Source organism: Homo sapiens, chromosome 4, assembly GCF_000001405.40.
Source record: "Homo sapiens chromosome 4, GRCh38.p14 Primary Assembly".
NCBI classification, from domain to species: Eukaryota; Metazoa; Chordata; class Mammalia; order Primates; family Hominidae; genus Homo; species Homo sapiens.
This window is the reverse complement of record NC_000004.12, coordinates 150905783-150928115: the sequence shown is the minus strand read 5'-3', so window position 1 is coordinate 150928115 and position 22333 is coordinate 150905783. Positions and strand designations below refer to the sequence as shown.

The 22333-nt window shown below is 35.7% G+C and overlaps 1 protein-coding gene across 9 annotated transcripts in view; it reads left to right on the top strand.

Moving 5' to 3' along the window:
* Window positions 1-22333, top strand: part of LRBA (LPS responsive beige-like anchor protein) — a 751293-nt gene that overhangs the window by 87612 nt on the left and 641348 nt on the right. For all 9 annotated transcript variants that reach the window (XM_047416462.1, NM_001367550.1, NM_006726.5 and 6 more), the window contains exons 5-13: window positions 6823-6918; window positions 11378-11499; window positions 11589-11715; window positions 12389-12508; window positions 13775-13921; window positions 19259-19456; window positions 19649-19782; window positions 21711-21819; window positions 22126-22278. In XM_047416462.1, the coding sequence (XP_047272418.1) occupies window positions 6823-6918; window positions 11378-11499; window positions 11589-11715; window positions 12389-12508; window positions 13775-13921; window positions 19259-19456; window positions 19649-19782; window positions 21711-21819; window positions 22126-22278 (1206 nt within the window). The remainder of the gene's footprint in view (window positions 1-6822; window positions 6919-11377; window positions 11500-11588; window positions 11716-12388; window positions 12509-13774; window positions 13922-19258; window positions 19457-19648; window positions 19783-21710; window positions 21820-22125; window positions 22279-22333) is intronic.

Here is a 22333-nt window from a genome sequence, read left to right as displayed (position 1 = left end):
CTACCCTCTTGAGATGCAACTTAGGAGTCATTTGCAATGGGTAGTGATGGGGGTGAACTTATTTTGAACCCCAGGTGCCTTATCAAACTGTTTCTTCCACCATATAGTTATCTGTCCCATTGAAGAGGAGTAGTAAATATTTTCTCCATTTTTGTTGCATTTCCAATCTTATTTTAGTGCCCTTTAGAGATCATTGCCCACAGCAACAGCTCAGCCAGCTGATCCTTAATCTAGCTTTCATTAAATGTATCTAAAACTGTGCCCTACAATTACTCTTTTTCATTATGTTAAAATTTAGATTCTTTAGCATATTTCTCTCAAACTCCAGTTTACTGTCTAATTTTAGTTTTTTTTACTAATTTTCATTGAATTTGATTATATTTCTGGTTCTAGCTTACCTTGTGTTTATCTTCTTAGAGTTTTTGCTTCTGTGGGGGTATAAGATAATTGTCACAAAATTTGGAAACATTTTAGTCATTGTTTCTTCAAATACTGTCTTCTTGTCCCCGCTTCCTGTCTTTTCTGGGACTCCAATTACAGATATATTAGACCTCTTGATATTTTCTCACAGGTTACTGGGATCTGTTAACTCTTTTTTTAATCTTTTTGTGCTTTATTTTAGATAGTTTTTATTGCTGTAGTCTCAAGTTAACTGATCTTTTCTTCAGCAGTGTGTTAATTCCATCCACTGAAATTTCAGATAGTATATTTTTCTTTCTGTAAATTTTTTTTTTTTTTTTTTTAAGGCAGAGTCTCGCTCTGTTGCCCAGCCTGGAGTGCAGTGCCATGATCTCGGCTCACTGCAAGCTCTGCCTCCCGGGTTCATGCCATCCTCCTGCCTCAGCCTCCCAAGTAGCTGGGACTACAGGCGTATGCCACCAAGTGCGGCTAATTTTTGTATTTTTAGTAGAGACGGGGTTTTGCCATGTTAGCCAGGATGGTCTCGATCTCCTAACCTTGTGATCTGCCCGCCTTGGCCTCCCAGAGTGCTGAGATTACAGGTGTGAGCCACCGCGCCTGGCCTTTTTTTTTTTTTTCTTTCTTTTGAGACGGAGTCTTGCTCTGTCGCCAGGCTAACGTCCAGTGGTGCGATCTCTGCTCACTGCAACCTCCACCTCCTGGGTTCAAGCAATTCTCCTACCTCAGCCTCCTGAGTTGCTGGGATTACAGGCGCACACCACCACGCCTGGCTAACTTTTCTATTTTTAGTAGAGACAGGGTTTCACAGTGTTGGTCAGGATGGTCTCGAACTCCTGACCTTGTGATCCACCCGTCTTGGCCTCCCAAAGTGCTGGGATTACAGGCATAAGCCACCATGCCTGGTCTCTTTCTGTAAATTCTATTTGGTTCTTTTAAATATTTTCCATTTTTTCCCTCATTTAATTCCTTTAAATCCTTGACAATATTTAGCATATGAATAGTTGCTTTAATGCTCTTGGTTTTTCATTCTAGAATGTCATTTTCTAGGTCAGTTTTTTACTCATTGATTTTGCTCCTTTATGTAGGTCACATTTTTCTGCTGCTTATGGCTACTGAATTTAGACAATATATCAGACATAGCAAATTTTATGTTGCTGAGTGTTGGATTTTGTCATATTCCTTTTAAGATTGTTAGACTGGTTTTGTAGGCAGATAAGTTATTTGTGGATCAACTTTATCCTTCAAAACTAGTTTAAAAGTTTTTTTTCCAGTAAGGTTTAGAGTGGCTGTTACGCTACGGCTAGTTTAGTTTTACTATTCAGGCGTGTCTCTTAGAGGGTCTCTATTGAATAACTCTCAAGTCTCAGACATAGGACAGGAGGTAGCAAGACTGTGGTCTCTCCGAAGTGTCTAGTAGGGTCTCAACAATTCCTAGCTCTGTATTAGTTTTGGGAATTCTTTAACTTAAAGCTCTTACTATCTTAGCCCCACCATGTTGAGTTTTATCATAAGCATGATCAGTCTGGTATTAAGTCAAAGAGTCAATGCAGATTTCTGGAGCTTCTTGTCTGTTCAGTTCTTTCCTCCCTAGTATTCTTCTCTGAAACTTCTATCTTCTGTGGACTCCACTTTCTTTCCAACTCACTGAGACTTTCGGGTTCTGTTTGGTTTCCCTGTGCAATGATATGGAAATTGACTCCAGGTTTAAGTCATTTTGTTTTCTCAGGGAACACAGTCTTGAGCTACCTCTTCCTGCATACTGAAAACTGTTTTTGTTTGATACATTTTGCCCACTTTTCTAGTTGTTTATGGTAGGTTGGTAAGTCCAGGTCCTATTAATATGTCGTGTCCAGAAGAGAAAGTATATATTTGATTTTGGTTTTTATTTATATTCACATTATTTATTCTGAATATGTAATGTATTTTTATTATATTCATAAGCATAGAAAATTATAGGTAAGAAAATAGCAAATAATATGAACTAATATTTATTTACAGAGGTAGAAACCCCACAACCAAATGAACACAAAATCATTAATAATTAGAGACATTCACATTAAAACAGTATTGATATTGTCACCTTCCATCTGTAGTTTCTCAAGAATTTTAAAGTTGGAAAATGGCAAGTATAGTTTGGGATATAGGGTTATTTTATACTTGGTGCGCTTTTCATTAGAATGAACACCAGTGGAGCCAACCTCAAGAGGAGTCTAGTGCTACTTAGTCATGTTAATTTTACCTGTATCCAGTGATTTAATAATTCACTTCTGAGTGCGTATTCCAAGAAATTCTCACATAGATCCATAAAATACATGAGGATGTTCACTGAAGCATTATTTTTGATGGCAGTGAATGTTAACATGGATGTTCATCATTAAGAGAGTGGATTGGTAAAATGTATAGAAGGTAGATTGTTCTATAACAGAATCAGTACATGGAGTAATAGGAATAGATGTAAAATATATAGGAAAGAAAGCAATGATAAGTGTAAGCACATAAAAACCTTTTTTTCTTTTCTTTTTTTTTTTTTTAAAGACAGGGTCTCACTCTCATCCAGGCTGGAGTGCAATGGTGTGATCATGGCTCACTGCATTCTCAGCTTCCTGGTATCAAGAGATCCACCTCAGCCTCCCAAGTAGCTGGGACCACGGACATGTGCCACCATGCCAGGCTAATTTTTGCATTTCTTTTAGAGGCTGGGTTTTGCCATGTTGTCCAAGCTGGTGTCAAACTCCTGAGCTCAAGCAGTCCTCCCAGAGTGCTAGGATTACAGGCATGAGCCACCACACTCAGCCCCAAACATTATTTTTGAAGGAATAATCTACATAAAAAAGATTAAACATGTTAATATAGTTGCCTATGGGGAGGGGGAGGAGAATGAGAATAGTTTTAGATGATAAAGGGAAAAAATAATGAACTATTTATAAAATGAGAGCAAGGCCTTGCTCAGATACTCATTACGTTTATTTAGTTATTTAATATTAGGCATATTATTTCTATCGTTTGCTGTTATAGCAGTGCAGTGAAAAAATCCCTATATCTAAATCTCTGTCTGCCCTTGTGGTGATTACTTTAGCATAGATTTTTACATGTGGAAATATTGCATTGGTGGACATGAACGTCTTTACGGACTCTTGAAATATGACTACTACATCTTTTTCTTTTCCTCTTTCTTTTTCTTTTTCAGACAGAGTCTTGCTCTGTTACCCAGGTTGGAGTACAGTGGTGCTATCTCGGCTGCCTGCAACCTCTGCCTCCTGGGTCAAGCAATCCTCCCACCTCAGCTTTCCAAGCAGCTGGGACCACAGGCACTTGCCACCATTCTTGGCTAATTTTTGTATTGTTTTCTAGAGATGGAGTTTCTCCATGTTGCCCAGGCTGGTCTCAAACCCCTAGGCTCAAGCGATCCCTCCACCTTGGCCTCCTAAAGTGTTGAGATTACAGATGTGAACCACTGTGCCTGGTCTACTAAATTTTTTTCTGAAAGGCTTTACCAGTACAGTATACACTCCCCCAGCAATGTCTGTCAAGTAAAGTGCTTATCTTAATGTATTCTTTTGTTGACTGATTTATAGGAAAGGAAATTTGGAGGAATGATGTTTCTAGATGGACATGCTATAATACTGTATTTTTATTTTTAACTGCAGAGTTATTTTTGGTTACTTTATTTTACTTTGGAATTTATTTTAAAAAATCACTGTGATTGTAGTTACTTGTTATTATGCTTTTACAATTGAGCAGTATGGTTAATTGAAAATTTCTTGTTCACTTAAGAATGAAGCTTCCACTTAATATTTAGGTGAAAGGTTGCCAAACTCTTTTACACAGGTAGTAATTATAATTTATATCATCTATAAAAATAAGATGAAGGCAAACCAATGATTTCATTTGTAGTTTGACCCTGTTTTGAACTTTTACATTTTTAACAAGGAGGAATGCCCCACACTTTTCTTATTTGGTTATAAACTGATTAAAATGAGATAGTATGTCTGATTATCTTTTGTTTTTCCTTGTAACTGCAAATGAGATTTTTCATTTTTATTGTTGGTTGTTTCATGTATTAGAGACTTGTGGACCAAGGAAACATTAATCAAATAAACTCAGCGTTGCAGCTTTTATATGTATATGCTATGCGTATACATATATTTATATGCTATGCGGTAAAGGTATATTGTAGAATGAAATATGATAGGGAAGTTTAATCCACTCTCAGTTTCAAGGAAGGCTACCCTGAGGAAGTGACTGTTAAGATGAGCTCTAAAGGCTGGGTAAGATTGACTTGGATAAGAGGGGAGTACAGGGGTCCTTTTGAGAACATTTTAAGCATAAGGAATAGCTTTTGCTGAGGCCCTGTTGTGGGAAGAAGACTGAAAAAAGGATGGAGTGCAGGGAGAAGGGGAGAGTAAGAAGCAAAATGAGGCTAAAGAAGTAGATAAAGTATCTTATAGTCCATGTTAAAGGTTTTGGTCCCTATTTTAATGGTGAAAGTATAGTTGTTTTTTTTTTTTTTTGACTTTACGATGGTGTGAAAGTGATATGCATTCAGTATACTCCTTCACTTAGGATGGGGCTACCTCCGGCTAAACCCATCTTAAGTTGACAATATTTTGGATCAAAAACATACTTTCGATTTACATTCTTTTCAACTTACTGTGGGTTTATCAGGATGTAACCCTATCGTAAGTTGAGGAGCATCTGTATAGTTGTTTAAAAGCATGGACTCTGGAGTCAAGATTGAGTTCTCATCCTGACCTTGACAGTTATTACCCATGTGACTTTGGAAATGTTCCCCTGCCTCAGATTCTTCTTCTGTAAACTGCGGATAATCATAATAATACCATCCCATAGGGTGGTTATGAGGTTAAAATATTTTAGTGTTTTTGAAGTACCATTTTTTGAAATGTTTATTTTTATTTTTTAATTTTATTTTTCCATAAGTTATTGGGGTACAGGTAGTATTTGGTTACATGAGTAAGTTCTTTAGTGGTGATTTGTGAGATTTTGGTGCACCCGTCACCTGAGCAGTATACACCACACCATATTTGTAGACTTTTATCTCTCACCCGCCTCCCACTCTTACCCCAAGTCCCCAAAGTCCATTGTATCTTTCTTTTTCCTTTGTGTCCTCATAGCTTAGCTCCCACATATCAGTGAGAACATACACTGTTTGGTTTTCCATTCCTGAGTTACTTCACTTAGAATAATAGTTTCCAGTCTTATCCAGGTCACTGCAAATGCTGATAATTTATTTCTTTTAATGGCTGAGTAGTATTCCATCATATATATATATATATATATATACCACAGTTTCTTTATCCACTCGTTGATTGATGGGCATTTGGGTAGGTTCCATGATTTTGCAATTGTGAATTGTGCTGCTATAAACATGCATGTGCAAGTATCTTTTTGAAGTACCTTTAACAGTGGAATATAGTAAGCATTATTTAAGTATTTGTTAAATTATTAAGTATTTTTAATTTTAAAGAAGGGTGGGTGGGGGATTGATGTAGTTTATATTTTTAAAAGATCGTTTTTGGCCAGGTGTGGTGGCTCATGCCTGTAATCCCAGCACTTTGTGAGGCTGAGGCAGGTGGATCACTTGAAGTCAGGAGTTTGAGACCAGTCTGGCCAACGTGGTGAAACCCTGTCTCTACTAAAAATACAAAAAATATAGGCCGGGCACAGTGGCTTACGCCTGTAATCCCACCACTTTGGGAGGCCCAGGCAGGTGGATCACCTGAGGTTGGTTCGAGACCAGCCTGACCAACATGGAGAAACCCCGTCTCTACTAAAAGTACAAAAGTTAGCCGGGTGTGGTGGCGTGCACCTGTAATCCCAGCTACTTGGGAGGGTGAGGCAGGAGAATCGCTTGAACCTGGGAGGCGGAGGTTGCGGTGAGCCGAGATCATGCCATTGCACTCTAGCCTGAGTGACAGAGCGAGACTCCATCTCGAAAGAAAAAAAAATTAGCTGGGTGTGGTGGCACACACCTGTAATCCCAGCTACTCAGCTGGTGAATCACTTGAATCTGGGAGGCAGAGTTTATGGTGAGCCGAGATGGCGCCACTGCACATGGACTCCAGCCTGGGTGGCAGAGTGAGACTCCATCTCAAAAAAGAAAAAAAAAAGATCATTTTTGCTGCAGCTTGGAGAAGAGTTTCAGGTGTCTAATGATACTGGCTCATATTTATTGAATACCTAATAGGCCCTACAGCATTACAAAAACTGGTGTAGAGTACATTATTTCTTTAAGATATTTGAAAATAACTTAGAAATTATTTTCTATGCTTTTAACCTTATAGCATTATTCCTGTATATATTACAGCAAGACTATATTAAAGATGTGTTTTTTTTATCTTATGGTAAATAATGTGGTTAATGAATTGTTAATTATCTTCATAGCCTCCACATGCTGGGAAGTTGCTGTCTGTGTTAAAGCATATGCCTCAGAAGTATGGTCCTGATGCCTTTTTTAACTTTCCAGGAAAGAGTGCTGCAGTAAGTAAATATTAATGAGGAAATCACTCCCAGTTCTTCTTTCCTTTGCTCCCTGAAAGTACAGCCCTGTGAACACCCCTGACAGGTTCTGTGCTAGGTAGAAACTTCTGCTCAACATACTTTAATCCTTATGATAGTCGTGCATGTTACTTTTTTGTAATTGCTTTAGAGGTGAAGAAATAGAGGCTTAAATTAGTTGAGAAAATGCCCAGTCACAGCTTGGGTCAGCAATGGAATAAGAACCTCATTCTTTTAAACATAGCCATGTTGTCTTAAGTAGCTATTTGTGTGTAACACCTTCATGTCTATCTTTGTGAACATCTTTCTCTTGCCTTTCATTACTCTACCTGTCTTTTTTTTTGTACCTTGTGTATAGAATGATAGTGAAGAAATAGAGGCTCTGAAACTTACTACGCAAGTTTTCCTTGACTTGTGAGTTTCCAAATTATGTTGGTCTCAGTGTTCCTGTAAGCCGTTAATCAGTTTATACATAAGACAATTATGTATAATAGTGATATCTGTAATGTTTCGTAATGTTATAGAAGCACATTCTATAATGTATATATGTTATTTATGGAAGTTTCTAAAATCTCCTCATTATTACATTGGTCAGTCTGTTACAAGCAAAACAAACTTTTTTTTTATTTTGAGATGGAGTTTTGCTCTTGTTGCCCAGGCTGGAGTGCAGTGGTGCGATCTCGGCTCACTGCAACCTCTGCCTCCTGGTTTCAAGCGATTCTTCTGCCTCAGCCTCCTGAGTAGCTGCGATTACAAGTGCCCACGACCACGCCTGACTAATTTTTGTATTTTTAGTAGAGACGGGGTTTTGCCATGTTGGCCAGGCTTGTCTCGAATTCCTGACCTCAGGTGATCCACCCACCTCAGCCTCCCGAAGTGCTGGGATTACAGGCATGAGTCACCACGCCCGGCCCAAGACAAACTTTTAAAAAAGATATTTCAGTCTATTCTTTTCCTGAGCTTATCTTTCATTCTTTTTTTTATGTTAGTTCTCATAAAATCTTATATTAGGCCCTGTGTAGCCTGGCAGTATCTGCAGAAAGATAAGAATATGTTTTAATATGACATTTGTGATATTTAAATGTTATATACACAATATACAACTTTCTTTGAAAAGTTTTATTGCCCAATTTTTTCCTTTACAGTTTTTCCTTACAGTCGATTTTAGATTTGTAGCTTTTCAGAATAATTTTACTTTCTTATCATAGCCTATCATTGCCTCTAACATTAAAAAAAGTGTTCTTATGAGATTAACCTTTTTCATGCCTCATGTTATAATTTTATTATTTACAGTTCTGAGATTGCAGTGCATGCATTTATCTTGAAAGTAGGGCAGGTGAGCTGAACAGCTTTTGAAACTTGAAGAGAATAGATGTTTTAAATATGTTTAGTGACTTCCTTTCCTTAAACATAGCTTTTACTGGGAATTTAAAGTAGTCATGAATAAAGTATTTTTGCAAAGCTTTTACATCTTTGCTATCGTTTTTGGTGAGAGAGAACATGTGTACGCACTGAATATATGTTTTTCTCCTAAAATTTTTTTTTGTCAGTCTGTGAGTTGTAATTATTCTTTTCCTTTTTTCTTAATGCAACGTTCATTTTTGCATTAATGCAACGTTTAATGCAACGTTCACTCTTGAAGTCTCAATAGTGTTATTACTGAAGTTTGGCTCTATGATGTCTTTCATGTTTTATGTCTTATCTAATACATATAAAAGAATATATGTATAATATGTATACATAAATGCATATGTAAGTTACAATAAAACAGACACTTGTGCAGTTTGAATTTTTTACAAAACAGCTTTATTGAGATATAATCCACATACCACACAATTAACTCATTTAAAGTATATAGTATAGTAGGTAAATGTGTTCACAGAGTTGTCAACCATCACCACAGTCAATTTTGGGACATTCTCATCACACCCAAAAGAAACCCCATACTGATTAGCAGCCACTCCCCATATTCCCCAGCCCTATTCTGGACCATTCATATTAGTGGAATCATACAACATCTGGTCTTTTGTGACTGGCTTTTTTCACTTATCATAATGTTTTCAAGGTCCATCCATGGTACAGCATGTATCAGTACTTCATTCCTTTTTATGGCTGGTATTATATTGTATGGATATACCATACTTTATTTAATCATTTGTCAACTAGTGAATATTTGGGATTTTCACTTCTTGGGCTAGTATGAATAATGCTGTTATGGACATTAGTGTACAATTTTATGTGTGGACATATGTTTTAATTTGTCCCAATCTCTAGATTAGGTCATATGGTCTTTGTTTAACATTTTGATGAACTTCCAGACTGTTTTCCAAAGTAGCTGTAACATTTTACGATCCCACAGCAATGTATAAGGGTCAAATTTCTCTACATCCTTGCTAAGATGGTTAATGTCTATTTTTGTTTGTTTGTTTTTGAGATGAAGTCTTGCTCTGTCACCCAGGCTGGAATGCAGTGGTGTGATCTTGGCTCCCTGCAACCTCTGCCTCCCGGTTCAAGCGATTCTTGTGTCTCAGCTTCCTGAGTAGCTGGGATTACAGATGTGTACCACCATGCCCAGCTAACTTTTGTATTTTTTAGTAGAGACAGGGTTTCACCATGTTGGCCAGGCTGGTCTTCAACTCCTGACCTGAAGTGATCCACCTGCCTCAGCCTCCCAAAGTGCTGGGATTATAGGCGTGAGCCACCGTGCCCGGCCAGTATCTGTCTTTGTGATTGTATTAGTAGCTATCCTAGTTGGTATGAAGTGATATCTCATTGTAGTTTTGATTTGCATTTCCTTTATGACTAATGATATTGAGCATCTTTTTATATTTTTATTGGCTATTTGTATATCTTCTTTGGAGATATGTATATTTAGATCTTTTGCCCATTTTAAAATTTTACTTGTCCTTTTATTATTGAGTTATAAGAGTACTTTATATATTTTGGTTACAAGTCCTTTATCAGGTATTCAGTTTGCAGATGTTTACTTCCATTCTTGTGGCTTGTCTTTTCACTTTTTTGATGGTGTTCCTTAAAGCACAGGTTTTAATTTTAATAAAGTCCAATGTATATATTTTTTTCTTTTGTCACTTGTCCTTTTGGTGACATAATAAGAAGGATTTGCCTAACCAAAGGACACCAGGGCCTTATGCTAATACCACAGTCTTCATCACTGTTGCTTTATATTAATGGTAGGTTTTGAAATGGTAGTATGAGTCTTCTAACTTTGTTCTTCTTCATTTTTTTTTTTGAGACAGATTTTTGTTCTTGTCACCCTGGCTGGAGTGCAATGGCATGATCTCGGCTCACTGCAACCTCTGCCTCCTGGGTTCAAGCAATTCTCCTGCCTCACCCTCCTGAGTAGCTGGGATTACAGGCACCCACCACCACGCATGGCTAATTTTTGTATTTTTTTAGTAGAGGCAGGGTTTCACCATGTTGGCCAGGCTGGTCTCGAACTCCTGACCGCAGATGATCTGCCTGCCTTGGCCTCCCAAAGTGCTGGGATTACAGGTGTGAGCCACCGTATCTGGCCTGTTCTTTTTAAAAGATTGTTTTGGCTATACAAGATCCTTTTATTATGTAGTATGATCTTTTAAATAAAAATCTAAACCAAGCGGTAAAGCCATTTGTATATTGACTTCTGAATATAATTTAAAAATATTATGAACTAATCCTCTTCAGTTTTATATTTGTAGTTTTATAAAAGCAGCATATACCCAGTTTTTCTCTTCTCTCTTTCCATTCCTGTCCATCTTTCTCTATTCTAATACCTTAAAATTTCATCAAATTTCCAATTTGTTATCACTTCCTATCTCTTTTAATTAGAATCTCTGTGGATACGTTCATTTTAAGAAATGAAGAATACAAGATTCATGTGTCCAGGTTACACTGAATTTTTTTTTCATTTAATTAACATTACTATGTATTAGGGAAAATTAAAAAGTTACTAAAAGTCTTCTTCCTGATAAAGAGTCTTCTTCCAGATAAAGAGTCTTCTTTCAGATATATATATATTTTTTTTTTTGAGATGGAGTCTTGCTCTTTCGCCCAGGCTGTAGTGCAGTGGTGTGGTCTCGGCTCACTGCAAACTCTGCCTCCTGGGTTCACGCCGTTCTCCTGTCTCAGCCTCCCGAGTAGCTGGGACTACAGGCACCCACCACCGTACCCGGCTAATTTTTTGTATTTTTAGTAGAGACGGGGTTTCACCGTGTTAGCCAGGATGGTCTCAATCTCCTGACCTTGTGATGCACCTGCCTCGGCCTCCCAAAGTGCTGGGATTACAGGCGTGAGCCACCGCGCCCGGCCTCAGATATTTTAATTGTGACATAAAGTAATGTGATGTAGTACAAATATATGTAGCATTGCAAAGTCTTATTTTCATGATTTTAATAAGACAGGTTTTCACGTGAGTTAATAACTCAAAGTTTCTTTCCTTTAGGCTATTGCATTACCTCCTATAGCCAAATGGCCATACCAGAATGGTTTTACATTTCATACATGGCTTAGAATGGATCCTGTAAATAACATCAATGTAGATAAGGATAAACCATATTTGTATTGGTATGTATTTCTGTAACTGATTAGTGTTAAAACCTTACTTTGAAACTGAGAAGAATATTTAGAGGTAAAATGAAAACTATTCTTTATAGTTTCAGAACCAGCAAAGGTCTTGGCTATTCTGCTCATTTTGTTGGAGGCTGTTTGATTGTAACATCAATAAAGTCAAAAGGAAAAGGCTTTCAACACTGTGTGAAATTTGATTTCAAGCCACAAAAGGTACATGATCTTCTTGAGTCATAGTTATGTTAACAAGCTATGCTAGTCATCAAAATGCTTTGTTTTAATGTTATTCATATAATAACATGCTAAAGCACAACTTCGTTTTTACTGTTTAAAAAGATGAAGCGTAAATCACTGAATAATTGACCTCTCTGATTTGGATATGAAAAAGATTGCAAATTTAGTTATTTATGGAGATTAAGGGAGATACAAGTAGGAAATATCTACGGCATTTATTTTAGTATTGCAAATTTAATATGTGTTTGCTTTTGTACCTTAAAATTTAGAGGTTAATAAATGGTTCATCAACAAAATGTATAAGTAGATAGGTAGTCAGATAGATTAAGCAAATATGGCAAAAAATTGACAATTATGGAATCTAGTTGGTGGAAAAAGGGGGTGTTTGTACTTGATTTTCAGATTTTTGGGGTATGTTTGAAAATTTCCATAATAAAAAGCTGGAAAAATGATCTAGTGATTAAGTTCTTATCAGTTGAAAGGCCCATGAATAGATATTGTTCCAGAAAGTAAATATTGAATTTAACAAAGGTAGTCTTGTTTTATTTTTAGGTTGAATTACAACTTATCATTTAACTTTTACTCATCAGTATGGTTGCGTTATTGGGATAATTGTTATCTTTGTATTTTTAACTGTTTTTTGCTTCTGCAGTGGTATATGGTTACCATAGTACACATCTATAACCGATGGAAGAATAGTGAACTTCGATGTTATGTGAATGGTGAGCTGGCTTCCTATGGAGAGATAACATGGTTTGTCAACACTAGCGATGTAAGTAGTTTCAAAATGTTGCAATGAAAAAAGTGATTTTAAAAGCATGAGCTTTTTAAACAAGAAAAAGTTTTACAACTTGAATATAAAATTCAAAGTATTACAATGGTAGATTTTTATAAACATAATTTGGCTAGCATGTTAATAGAACTTAATATGTCACTGAAATATTAGTCCTTGTTATAAAATCATTCCATATAGGTAGAAATAAGGATTTATAGCTAACAGTGGCTATATCTGGGGAGTGGGTCATTGGTTCATTTATCAAAATGAACAAGAGCTCCACTATAGGGTTCTGATCATTTTTCTGAATGAGTTAAATGATGCATGCTTATAAATCTTGCATATAATTCTAACTGCTATAGTTAACTAGTATGTTGTTAACGTTTACAGGTTTCAAAAATAAATCTATAGGTTAGAATGAAATTTAAAATGTTTTTCCTGTAATTATGTTCTTTTTATAAAAACTTGAAAAATACCAGGAAAATGAACATAAAGTACACTACCCACACACCATTAACTCCTCTTTTCATATCCTTTGCTACACATATATACATATTTTGTAATGCTAACCTCAAGAGATCAGGGTCTTGAATCAGACAGACTTAGGTTTGAATCTCAGCTCTGTCATTTATTGACTGCATGACCTTACCTAATCTATTAGGCCTTAGCATTTTTCCTCCTGAAAATGGACATAAAATATTCATACCTCAGAAAGTTGTCATCTGATTAAATGAGATAATATCCATAAATCTATTAGCAGCGCGCCTTATACAGAATGAGTGCTCAATGTTAGCTCTTTTTTAGTACAAAAAAGGGCTCATATGTAAGTATTGTTTTGTAACCTGTTTTTTCTTACATTAACTTTTACTGAGTGCTTTTTGTATTCCAGGCATTGTAATAAATAGCTTTATTTTCAAAAAGCTCCAGCAACCTTGCAAGATAAGCATTATTATAATCTTCATTTTACAGATAGGTGAAGTACAAAGAGGTTAAGTAACTTGCCATACTCAGTGGCATAGGATGCAGGGATTTGATCTAGGTTGTTTGGCTTGAGAACACATGTGTTTCAAACTTTTCTATATCCCCTAATGTCATTACATACACATTTTTCAACATTCTTTCTAATGGTTTTATGGTATAAATTATGTTAGTCTATTTAGATACAGTTTAGAATGGACAAAACATTTATGATAATATAGGTTTTTATTATTTCTGGAGTTTTTTTTTGTTTTTTCCTAATTCCTTTTTTTTTTTCTTTTACAGACCTTTGACAAATGTTTCCTGGGCTCATCAGAAACAGCAGATGCTAATAGAGTATTCTGTGGTCAGATGACTGCAGTTTACCTTTTCAGTGAAGCTCTAAATGCAGCTCAGATATTTGCTATTTATCAGTTGGGCCTGGGATACAAGGTAGTTTGCTTACTGTTTTGTGCTTAACCAATGTTAGTTCAGCTTGATTTGAAGGTGGGTTATACATGGAGAGTTTGGTTAATGGATACAAAAAAAAAAAAGAAAAATGAGACCTACTATTTGATACCACAGCAGGGTGACTATAGTCAATAATAACTGTACATTTTGAAATAGTGTAATTGGATGGTTTTCAACTAAATTGGTAAATGCTTGAAGGGATGGATATCTGTTCTCCATGATGTGCTTATTTCACGTTGCATGACTGTATTAAAACATTTTATGGGCCCCATAAATATATACACCTAAAATGTACCCACAAATAAAGAGATGTGTGCAAATGGTAACCAGAGAAGAGTAGGAGTAGCTTACTTAAATTAGACAAAATAGACTTTAAGTCAAAAACTGTCAAAAGAGACAAAGAAGGACATTTTATGATGATAGGGTCAGTTCACCAGAAAGATAGAACAAATATATGTACTTAACATCAGAGCTCTCAAATATATGAAGCAAACTTTGATAGAATTAAAAGAAGTAGATAGCAACACCATTATAGTAGGACACTTCAGTATTCAGCTTTCAATAATGAATAGAACAACCAGACAGAAGATCAATAAGTAAACAGAAGACTTGAACAGCAATGCAGCCCAATGTATTTAGCAGTAGTATACATAACACTCGATGAAACAACAGTAGAATGTGCATTGTTCTTCTTCTTCTTCTTTTTTTTGAGGTGGAGTTTTGCTCTTGTTGCCCAGGCTGGAGTGCAATGGCATGATCTTGGCTCATTGCAACCTCCACCTCCTGGGTTCAAGCAATTCTCCTGCCTCAGCCTCCCAAGTACCTGGGATTACAGGCATGTGGCACTGCACCCAGCTAATTTTGTAATTTTAATAGAGATGGGGTTTTGCCATTTTGGTCAGGCTGGTCTCAAACTCCTGACCTCAGGTGATCCGCCCGCCTCGGCTTCCCAAAGTGCTGGGATTACAGGCGTGAGCCACTGCACCTGACCTGCATTTTTCTTAAGCACACACAGAACATTCTCCAGGATAGACATGTGTTATGCCACAAAACAAGTGTCAACAAAGTTAAGATTGAAATTATACCAAGTATCTTTTTTGACCACAATAAAATGAAACTAGAAACCAGTTGCCAAAGAAAAACTGGAAAGTCCACCAAGTTTTTAATGTAGAAAATGTTTAATGTAGAAATTAAACAACACACTTAAAACAGCCTTTGGGTCAAAGATAAATCACAAGGAAAATTAGAAAATATCTTGAGAGAAATCAAAATGTAAGCACAACCTACCAAAACTTACGAGATTCAGTGACCTCAGTCTAAGAGAGAAGATTATGGTGATAATGACTGATCATTATCACCAAAAGAAAGATCTCAGATCAGCAACCTAATTTATACAACATGGAACTGGAAAAAGAACAACAAATAAAGTTAACGTTAGCAGATAGAAGGAAATGATAAAAATCCGAGCAGAAATAAATGAAATAGAGCAGCAGTCCCCAACCTTTTTGGTCCCAGGGACCAGTTTCATGGAAGACAGTTTTTCCATGGACCACGGGTGGTGGGGGCGCAGCAGGGATGGTTTCGGGATGATTCAAGTGCATTACATTTATTGTGCACTTTATTTCTGTTATTATTACATTGTAATATATAATGAAATAATTATACGACTCACCATAATGTAGAATCAGTGGGAAACAAAGCAGAGCTTGTTTTCTGCAACTAGACGGTTCCATCCGGGGGTGATGGGAGACAGTGACAGATTATCAGGTATTATATTCTCATAAGGAGCACACAATCTAGATCCCTTGCATGTGCAGTTCACAATAGGGTTCACCCTTCTATAAAAATCTGATCTGACAGGAGGTGGAGCTCAGGCAGTAATGTGAGTGGTAGGGAGTGGCTGTAAATACAGATGAAGCTTTGCTTGCTTGCCCACCGCTCACTTCTTGCTGTTGTTCCTAACAGGTCATATACCTGGTTAGGGACCCCTGGAATAGAAAATAGAAAAGCAGTGAGAAAAAAATCAGTGAAACTAACAGTTTTTTTTTTAATTAAACATCAGCAAAATTGACAAATTCTTACATAGGCTAAGGAAAAAAGAAGAGCACATAAATAAGTAAAATCAGAAATTAAGGAGGAGGCATTATAACTTGCCACAGAAATAGAAAGAATTATAAGAGAATGCTATGAAAAGTATATGCCAACAAATCGGATAATTTAGAAGAAATGGACAATTTTCTAGAAATATACATCCTACTGAGACTGAATCAAAAATAAATTTAAAAAATCCGAAAAGACCTATAGCTAGTAAGGAGATTGAATCAATAATAAAAAACTTTTCAACAAAGAAAGCCAGGGACTAGATGGCTTCACTGGAGAATGCTCTCAGTCATCTAAAGAAGAATTAATGCCAATTCTCCTCAAATTTACAAAAATTTTAAGAGTAGGGAACATTTTCAAACTGATTTTATGAGGCCAGTGTTACCCTGATACCAAAGCCAGATCAAGATAGTACAAGAAAGAAAACTATAGACTAATATCCCTGATGAATATTGATGGAAAAATCTTCAATAAAATACTAAGAAATTGAATTTAACAGCACATTAAAAGAATTATACACAATGTCAAATTACGATTTATTTCTGGAATGCAAAGATGGTTCAACATGGAAATCAGTCAATGCAATGTACCACACTAACAGTGAATTACAAAATCCATATGATCATATATCAACTGATACAGAAAAGGATTTGACAAAATTCAACACTCTTTCTTGATTTAAAAAAAACCTAAAACACTCAACAATCTATGAATAGAAGGAAACTACCTCAACATAATAAAATATTGTATATGAAAAGCCCATGACTGACACAATACTGAACAGTGAAAAACTGACAGTTTTTCCTCTAAAATCAGGAACAAAGCAAGGATGCTTATTCTTTCCATTTCTATTCAACATAGTATTTGGAAATCCAGTTAGAGCAATTTGGCAAGAAAAAGAAAAGGCATCTAAATTGGAAGGGAAGAGGTAAAATCATCTGTTGGCGTATGGCATGACCTTATATCTAAAAATCCTTAAAGATTTCACTGAAAACTGTTAGGACTAGTAAATGAATTCTGCAGAGTTCCAAGGCACAAAATCAATACACACAAATCAATTGTGTTTCTATTAGTAATAATGAAGTAGTAATGAACAGTTTGAAAATTACGCAAACAATTTCTTTTACAATAGCATCAACAAGGATAAAATACTTAGAAATAAACTCAACCAAGGTGGCAAAAGAGCTGTACCCTGACTCCACCAAGGAGGCAAAAGAGTTGTACATTGAAAAGTACAAAATGTTGCTGACAAAATTTAAGAGACCGAAACAAATGTAAAGACATCCCTTGGAAGATTTAATATGCTAAAAATCCATACTACCTAAAGCAATCTACAGATTCAGTACAGTTCTTATCAAAATCCCAATGGCATTTTTTGCATAAATAGAAGCACAATTCTAAAATTAATGTGGAATCTCAAGGGATTCTCAGAAGCCAAAACAGTATTTAAAAAGGGGAACAAAGTTGCAGGCTTTACACTTCAGGGTTTCAAAATTTATTACAAGGCTATGATACATAATGAAAACAACGTTAGACTTGCTTAGACACATAGGCCAAGGGAACACAATAGAGTGTCCGGAAATAAACTTTTGCATATACGGTCAAATGATCTTTGACAAGTGAGGCAAGGCCACATACTGGGGAAAGGACAATGTGTTCAACACATGATGTTGGGAAAACTGGATATCCAGATGCGAAAAATAAGAAAGAAAAGTTTTATACTTAATTCATATTGTACATTGTATATAAAAATGAGCTGAAAATGGATTAAAGACCTAAAAGTAAGATGTAAAACTATAAAACTCCTAAAAGAATACACAAGGGAAAAGCTTTACGACATTGAATTTGGCAGTGATTTCTTGACTGTGATACCGAAAGTACAGGCAACCAAAGCCAAAACAGACAAATAAGATGTTGTCAAAGTTATAAAGTTCTGCGCATCAGAGGAAATATCCAGCAGAGTGGAAAGGTAACCTACAGAGTGAGAGAAAATATTTAGCAATCATATATCTGATAAGGAGTTAATATCCAGAATATATGAATCCTGTAACTCAACAACAACAACAATAACAAAACAATTAAAAATGCATAAAAGAGTTGAGTAGACATTTCTTTAAAGAAGATATAAAAATAGCCAATGAACATATGAAAAGATGCTCAATATCACTAGACATTAGAAAAATGCTAATTTAAACTACAGCGAGCTATTGCCTCATCATTTAGGATGACTACTTAAAAAAGAAAACAAAATAACAAGTGTTGGTGAGAATGTGGAGAAATTGGTACCTTTGTGCACTGTTGAGGGGAATGAAAAATGGTGCAGCTGCTATGGACAACAATATGAGGTTCCTCAAAAAATTAAAAATAGAACTTCCATGTGATCCAGTAATCTCACTTATGGGATATATACAAAATAATTGAAAAGAGGATCACAGAGACGTATTTGCACACAAAAAATAGGGTCACAAGGAGATATTTGCCCATCCATGTTCATAGTAATATTCTCGATAACCCAGAGATAGAAGTAACCCACATGTCCAGTAGCAGATGAATGGATAAAGAAAATGTGACAGACAACACACATAAACACACGGGACCATATTCAACCTTAAAAAACAAGGAAATCCTGTCATCAGCTAAAACATGGAGGAACTGTGAAGACATTGTGCTAAATGAAATGCTTGGGTCACAAAAAGACAAATACTGTATGATTCCACTTATACGAGGTATCTAAGAGTCCAACTCATAGAAACAGAAAGTAGAATTGTGATAGTCGGGCTGGTGGGGAGCAGGAAATGGGGAGTTGTTAAATGGCTACAGAGTTTCAGTTTTGCAAGATATAAAAGTTCTAGAGATTTGCTGTTGAACAATATGAATACAGTTAATGTTTCTCAATTATACACTTAAAAATACTTAAGATGGTAAGTTGTATATTATATGCTTTTGATCACAATTTTAAAAAAAGAATATACGAAAAAAGATAAAATATGATCTATTGGTCACTTCTACATTTTTAAGGTAAGGTTTTAATGTCAAGTTGACTTGATTTCCATTATATCTTTAAATTCAGCCAATTTTAGAAGTAAACGAGGGGTCCTCTTATATAATACTGTTAAAAGATTATCAATGGTCTGTCTCCTTAAAGTTTTACACCTGTGTTGATTTGTACTTAGATTCTCTTTGTGGCATACTATTTAACTGTTTTTAATTAATTCTTAGGGTACATTTAAATTCAAAGCAGAAAGCGACCTTTTCCTTGCTGAGCATCACAAACTTTTATTGTACGATGGGAAACTCTCTAGTGCCATTGCATTCACGTACAATCCACGGGCTACAGATGCCCAGCTTTGTCTTGAATCATCTCCTAAGGACAACCCTTCAATTTTTGTTCATTCACCACATGCACTCATGCTCCAGGTACTAACTGTGATCTTTTAAGAACATTTATAATGGTAATTTTTGATGTGTTATTGAGATGTATTTGGTAGCTTCTGTTAAACACATGGAATGTCACGTTTATAGTGTTTCTGCATTTATTGTTGTGCCTTATTTTTAATTGTTTTGGAAAAAAAATCATTGAACTCTTTACTGTGTTTTTGATCTTACAAGGATGTAAAGGCAGTTTTAACACATTCCATCCAAAGTGCAATGCATTCAATTGGAGGAGTACAAGTACTATTTCCACTTTTTGCACAGTTGGATTACAGGCAATATTTGTCTGATGAGATTGATTTGACTATATGGTGAGTGCCTTTATTTGTTTCTTTAATTGGCTGTGAGGGTTAATTTCATCACTGTTGAGCTATACAATATTTTGCCTTTCAGGTTTTGTTGTGTCAAAATAATTTAAACTTGTGAACTATAAACTGTATTACAAGTCCATATTAATTATGTCAGTATTAACTTAAGTTCTTGTTTATCAGTAGGAAATATGGAAGCTGTAAGAAACACAATAAATTGGTTTTAGAATAACATTATAAATGGCAATAATGGGTTACTCAAAAATAAATACATTTTTTTGTCTAAATTAAAAATTTTTTTTACTACCCATTACTCAGAATGCAATAAGAAATTTTTAATTTCTGAAATATTTAAAATTATTTGGTAATGATTTATTATGGAACTTAACTTTTCATATTTTAATTATTTATTACTGATTGCATTTATGTAATTGGAAGTCAAAATTTTAATAGTGTTATCGAAGTGAATTAGTCTTTTTGAAAAAAATTAGATTGTACATTTAGCACATTTTTGTCTCTTGTGTTGTAGTCCTGAGTCTAAAAAAGAAAGGGATATAAGTTATAGGGTAAGTCATAAAATGTAGGAAAGGAGTCTCAATTTCTCATGGCTATATATTCTAGTGAAACAATGTATAGTGAAATTATTGTTTCATTTGTATTGAAATTATTGTTTCATTTGTTACTTGAGAAATTTAAATACTTTTACATTCTCTCATTTTGAAATTCTCCCTTTGATTTTTGCTTTTATACATAACTTGATGTCTGCCACCAGTGTGTATAATAATGGTAATTGTCCTCATTATTTTCAGGCAACAATTTTTTTAAAAATAAAAAGTTATCAAATCTAGTATTTGTCAACTTATATTTTAAAAAATATAAAATTAAATTACCCTGACATATTAATACTTTATGGAATTGTTTTGTGCTGTGTTCTAACAGGGTTTACTTACAGTTTTCCTCCCTCCCTCCCTTCCTTCCCTCCCCCTTCCCCTTCCTCCCCTCTCTGCCCCCTCCCTCCCTTCCCCCTCTCCCCCACTTCTCTCCTCCCTCCCTCCCCTCTCCCCCCCTTCTCTCTTCCCTCCCTCCCCTCTCCCTCTCCCTCCCCCCTCCCCCCGTATTGAAATTGCTGGCAGTGAAAGCACTGATGTGGAGGAGGAGATTGGCTGCTGGTCATGCTTTCTCTCTCTCTCTCTTTTTTTTTGTTTTGTGGGACTTCTCTCTGAGAAGGCAGTAACAACTGATCTTTTTCCTTTCCTTTCCGGGGATCTTTAAAAATTGTAGGTAGTAGAGCATGGCTGTAGCCCCTATTCAGTTTTAAAAGTGTTCGAGACTGACTGGAGAATTACAATTTTGTTGTTGGGATAATGAACAAACTTCTTAAATTAGTGTTCAAGGAGCTCAAGTTTGCCTCCAAGTTAACTGTCTCATCTTTCTCTTCATGTGCCCTCTGCTCCATTCAGACTATGCAAGTCTGGAGCCCTAACACATTTTGAGGATTTACACCTTACTCTGTTTGCTCCACTGTCTTTTCTCACCTTTTGGCCCCTAACGCTTCAAAGTTGAATATACTTGCTTATCTAAGTTATATCTGTTCTTTAAGGCCTTAGTGTATTTTTAATAAGTATTTGTTATTGGTTGTTTTTGGAAGTTGCTCATTTTTCTCTATATCATGAACATTTGTCATTGTTTCTAAGTAATTCACCTATCAATGTGTTTGAGATAAAGTATATGAAATAAATATCTGAGTAACTCCTAATCCTACATTAAAAATCTAGTTCTGATGTAATGTTGGAAGCAGTTTTAGTGGAGCTTCAATTTCTTTGAAATGGAGAACTTTTTATTAAGGTGAATGGAAGGGTTACATCTATCTAACCTAATTTAAAAAAAATAGAATATGTTTTTTTAATCATCGCCTTTTTAAAAAATTCTAGTTCAACCTTGCTGGCCTTTATCATGGAATTGTTGAAGAACTCAATTGCTATGCAGGAACAGATGCTTGCCTGTAAGGGCTTCTTGGTAATAGGATATAGCCTTGAAAAGGTAAAGTATGAAATATTTTATGTTTTTGATTCTTAATTTACAGGCCATACATTTGTTCTCTAAGTGGCTAAGGAATTCTGTCTGCAAGAATGTCTCCTTGGTTACAGAAAATTACCTAAACTAAAATAACATTTTGTTGTTTTACCTTGCCTCCATTCCTCTATCAAACAAATGTGATAGTGAGCTTCATGGCATCTTTAACTTTGAGCATAATTTGTGGGCCAGTTTTTTTCCTGGTAGGGACAGCCTGTAATTCACTTACTTTGACTTGAATTTGTGGTAACATTTGAACTACTTTTTTTGCAGTCTTCCAAATCTCATGTTAGCAGAGCAGTACTTGAACTTTGCCTTGCATTTTCAAAATATCTGAGTAATCTGCAGAATGGGATGCCCCTGCTCAAGCAATTGTGTGATCACGTTCTTCTTAATCCTGCCATATGGATTCATACCCCAGCCAAGGTAATATATATCTATATATTGATATTGTTTTACTATCTTTGCTGTTTTTGTGCGT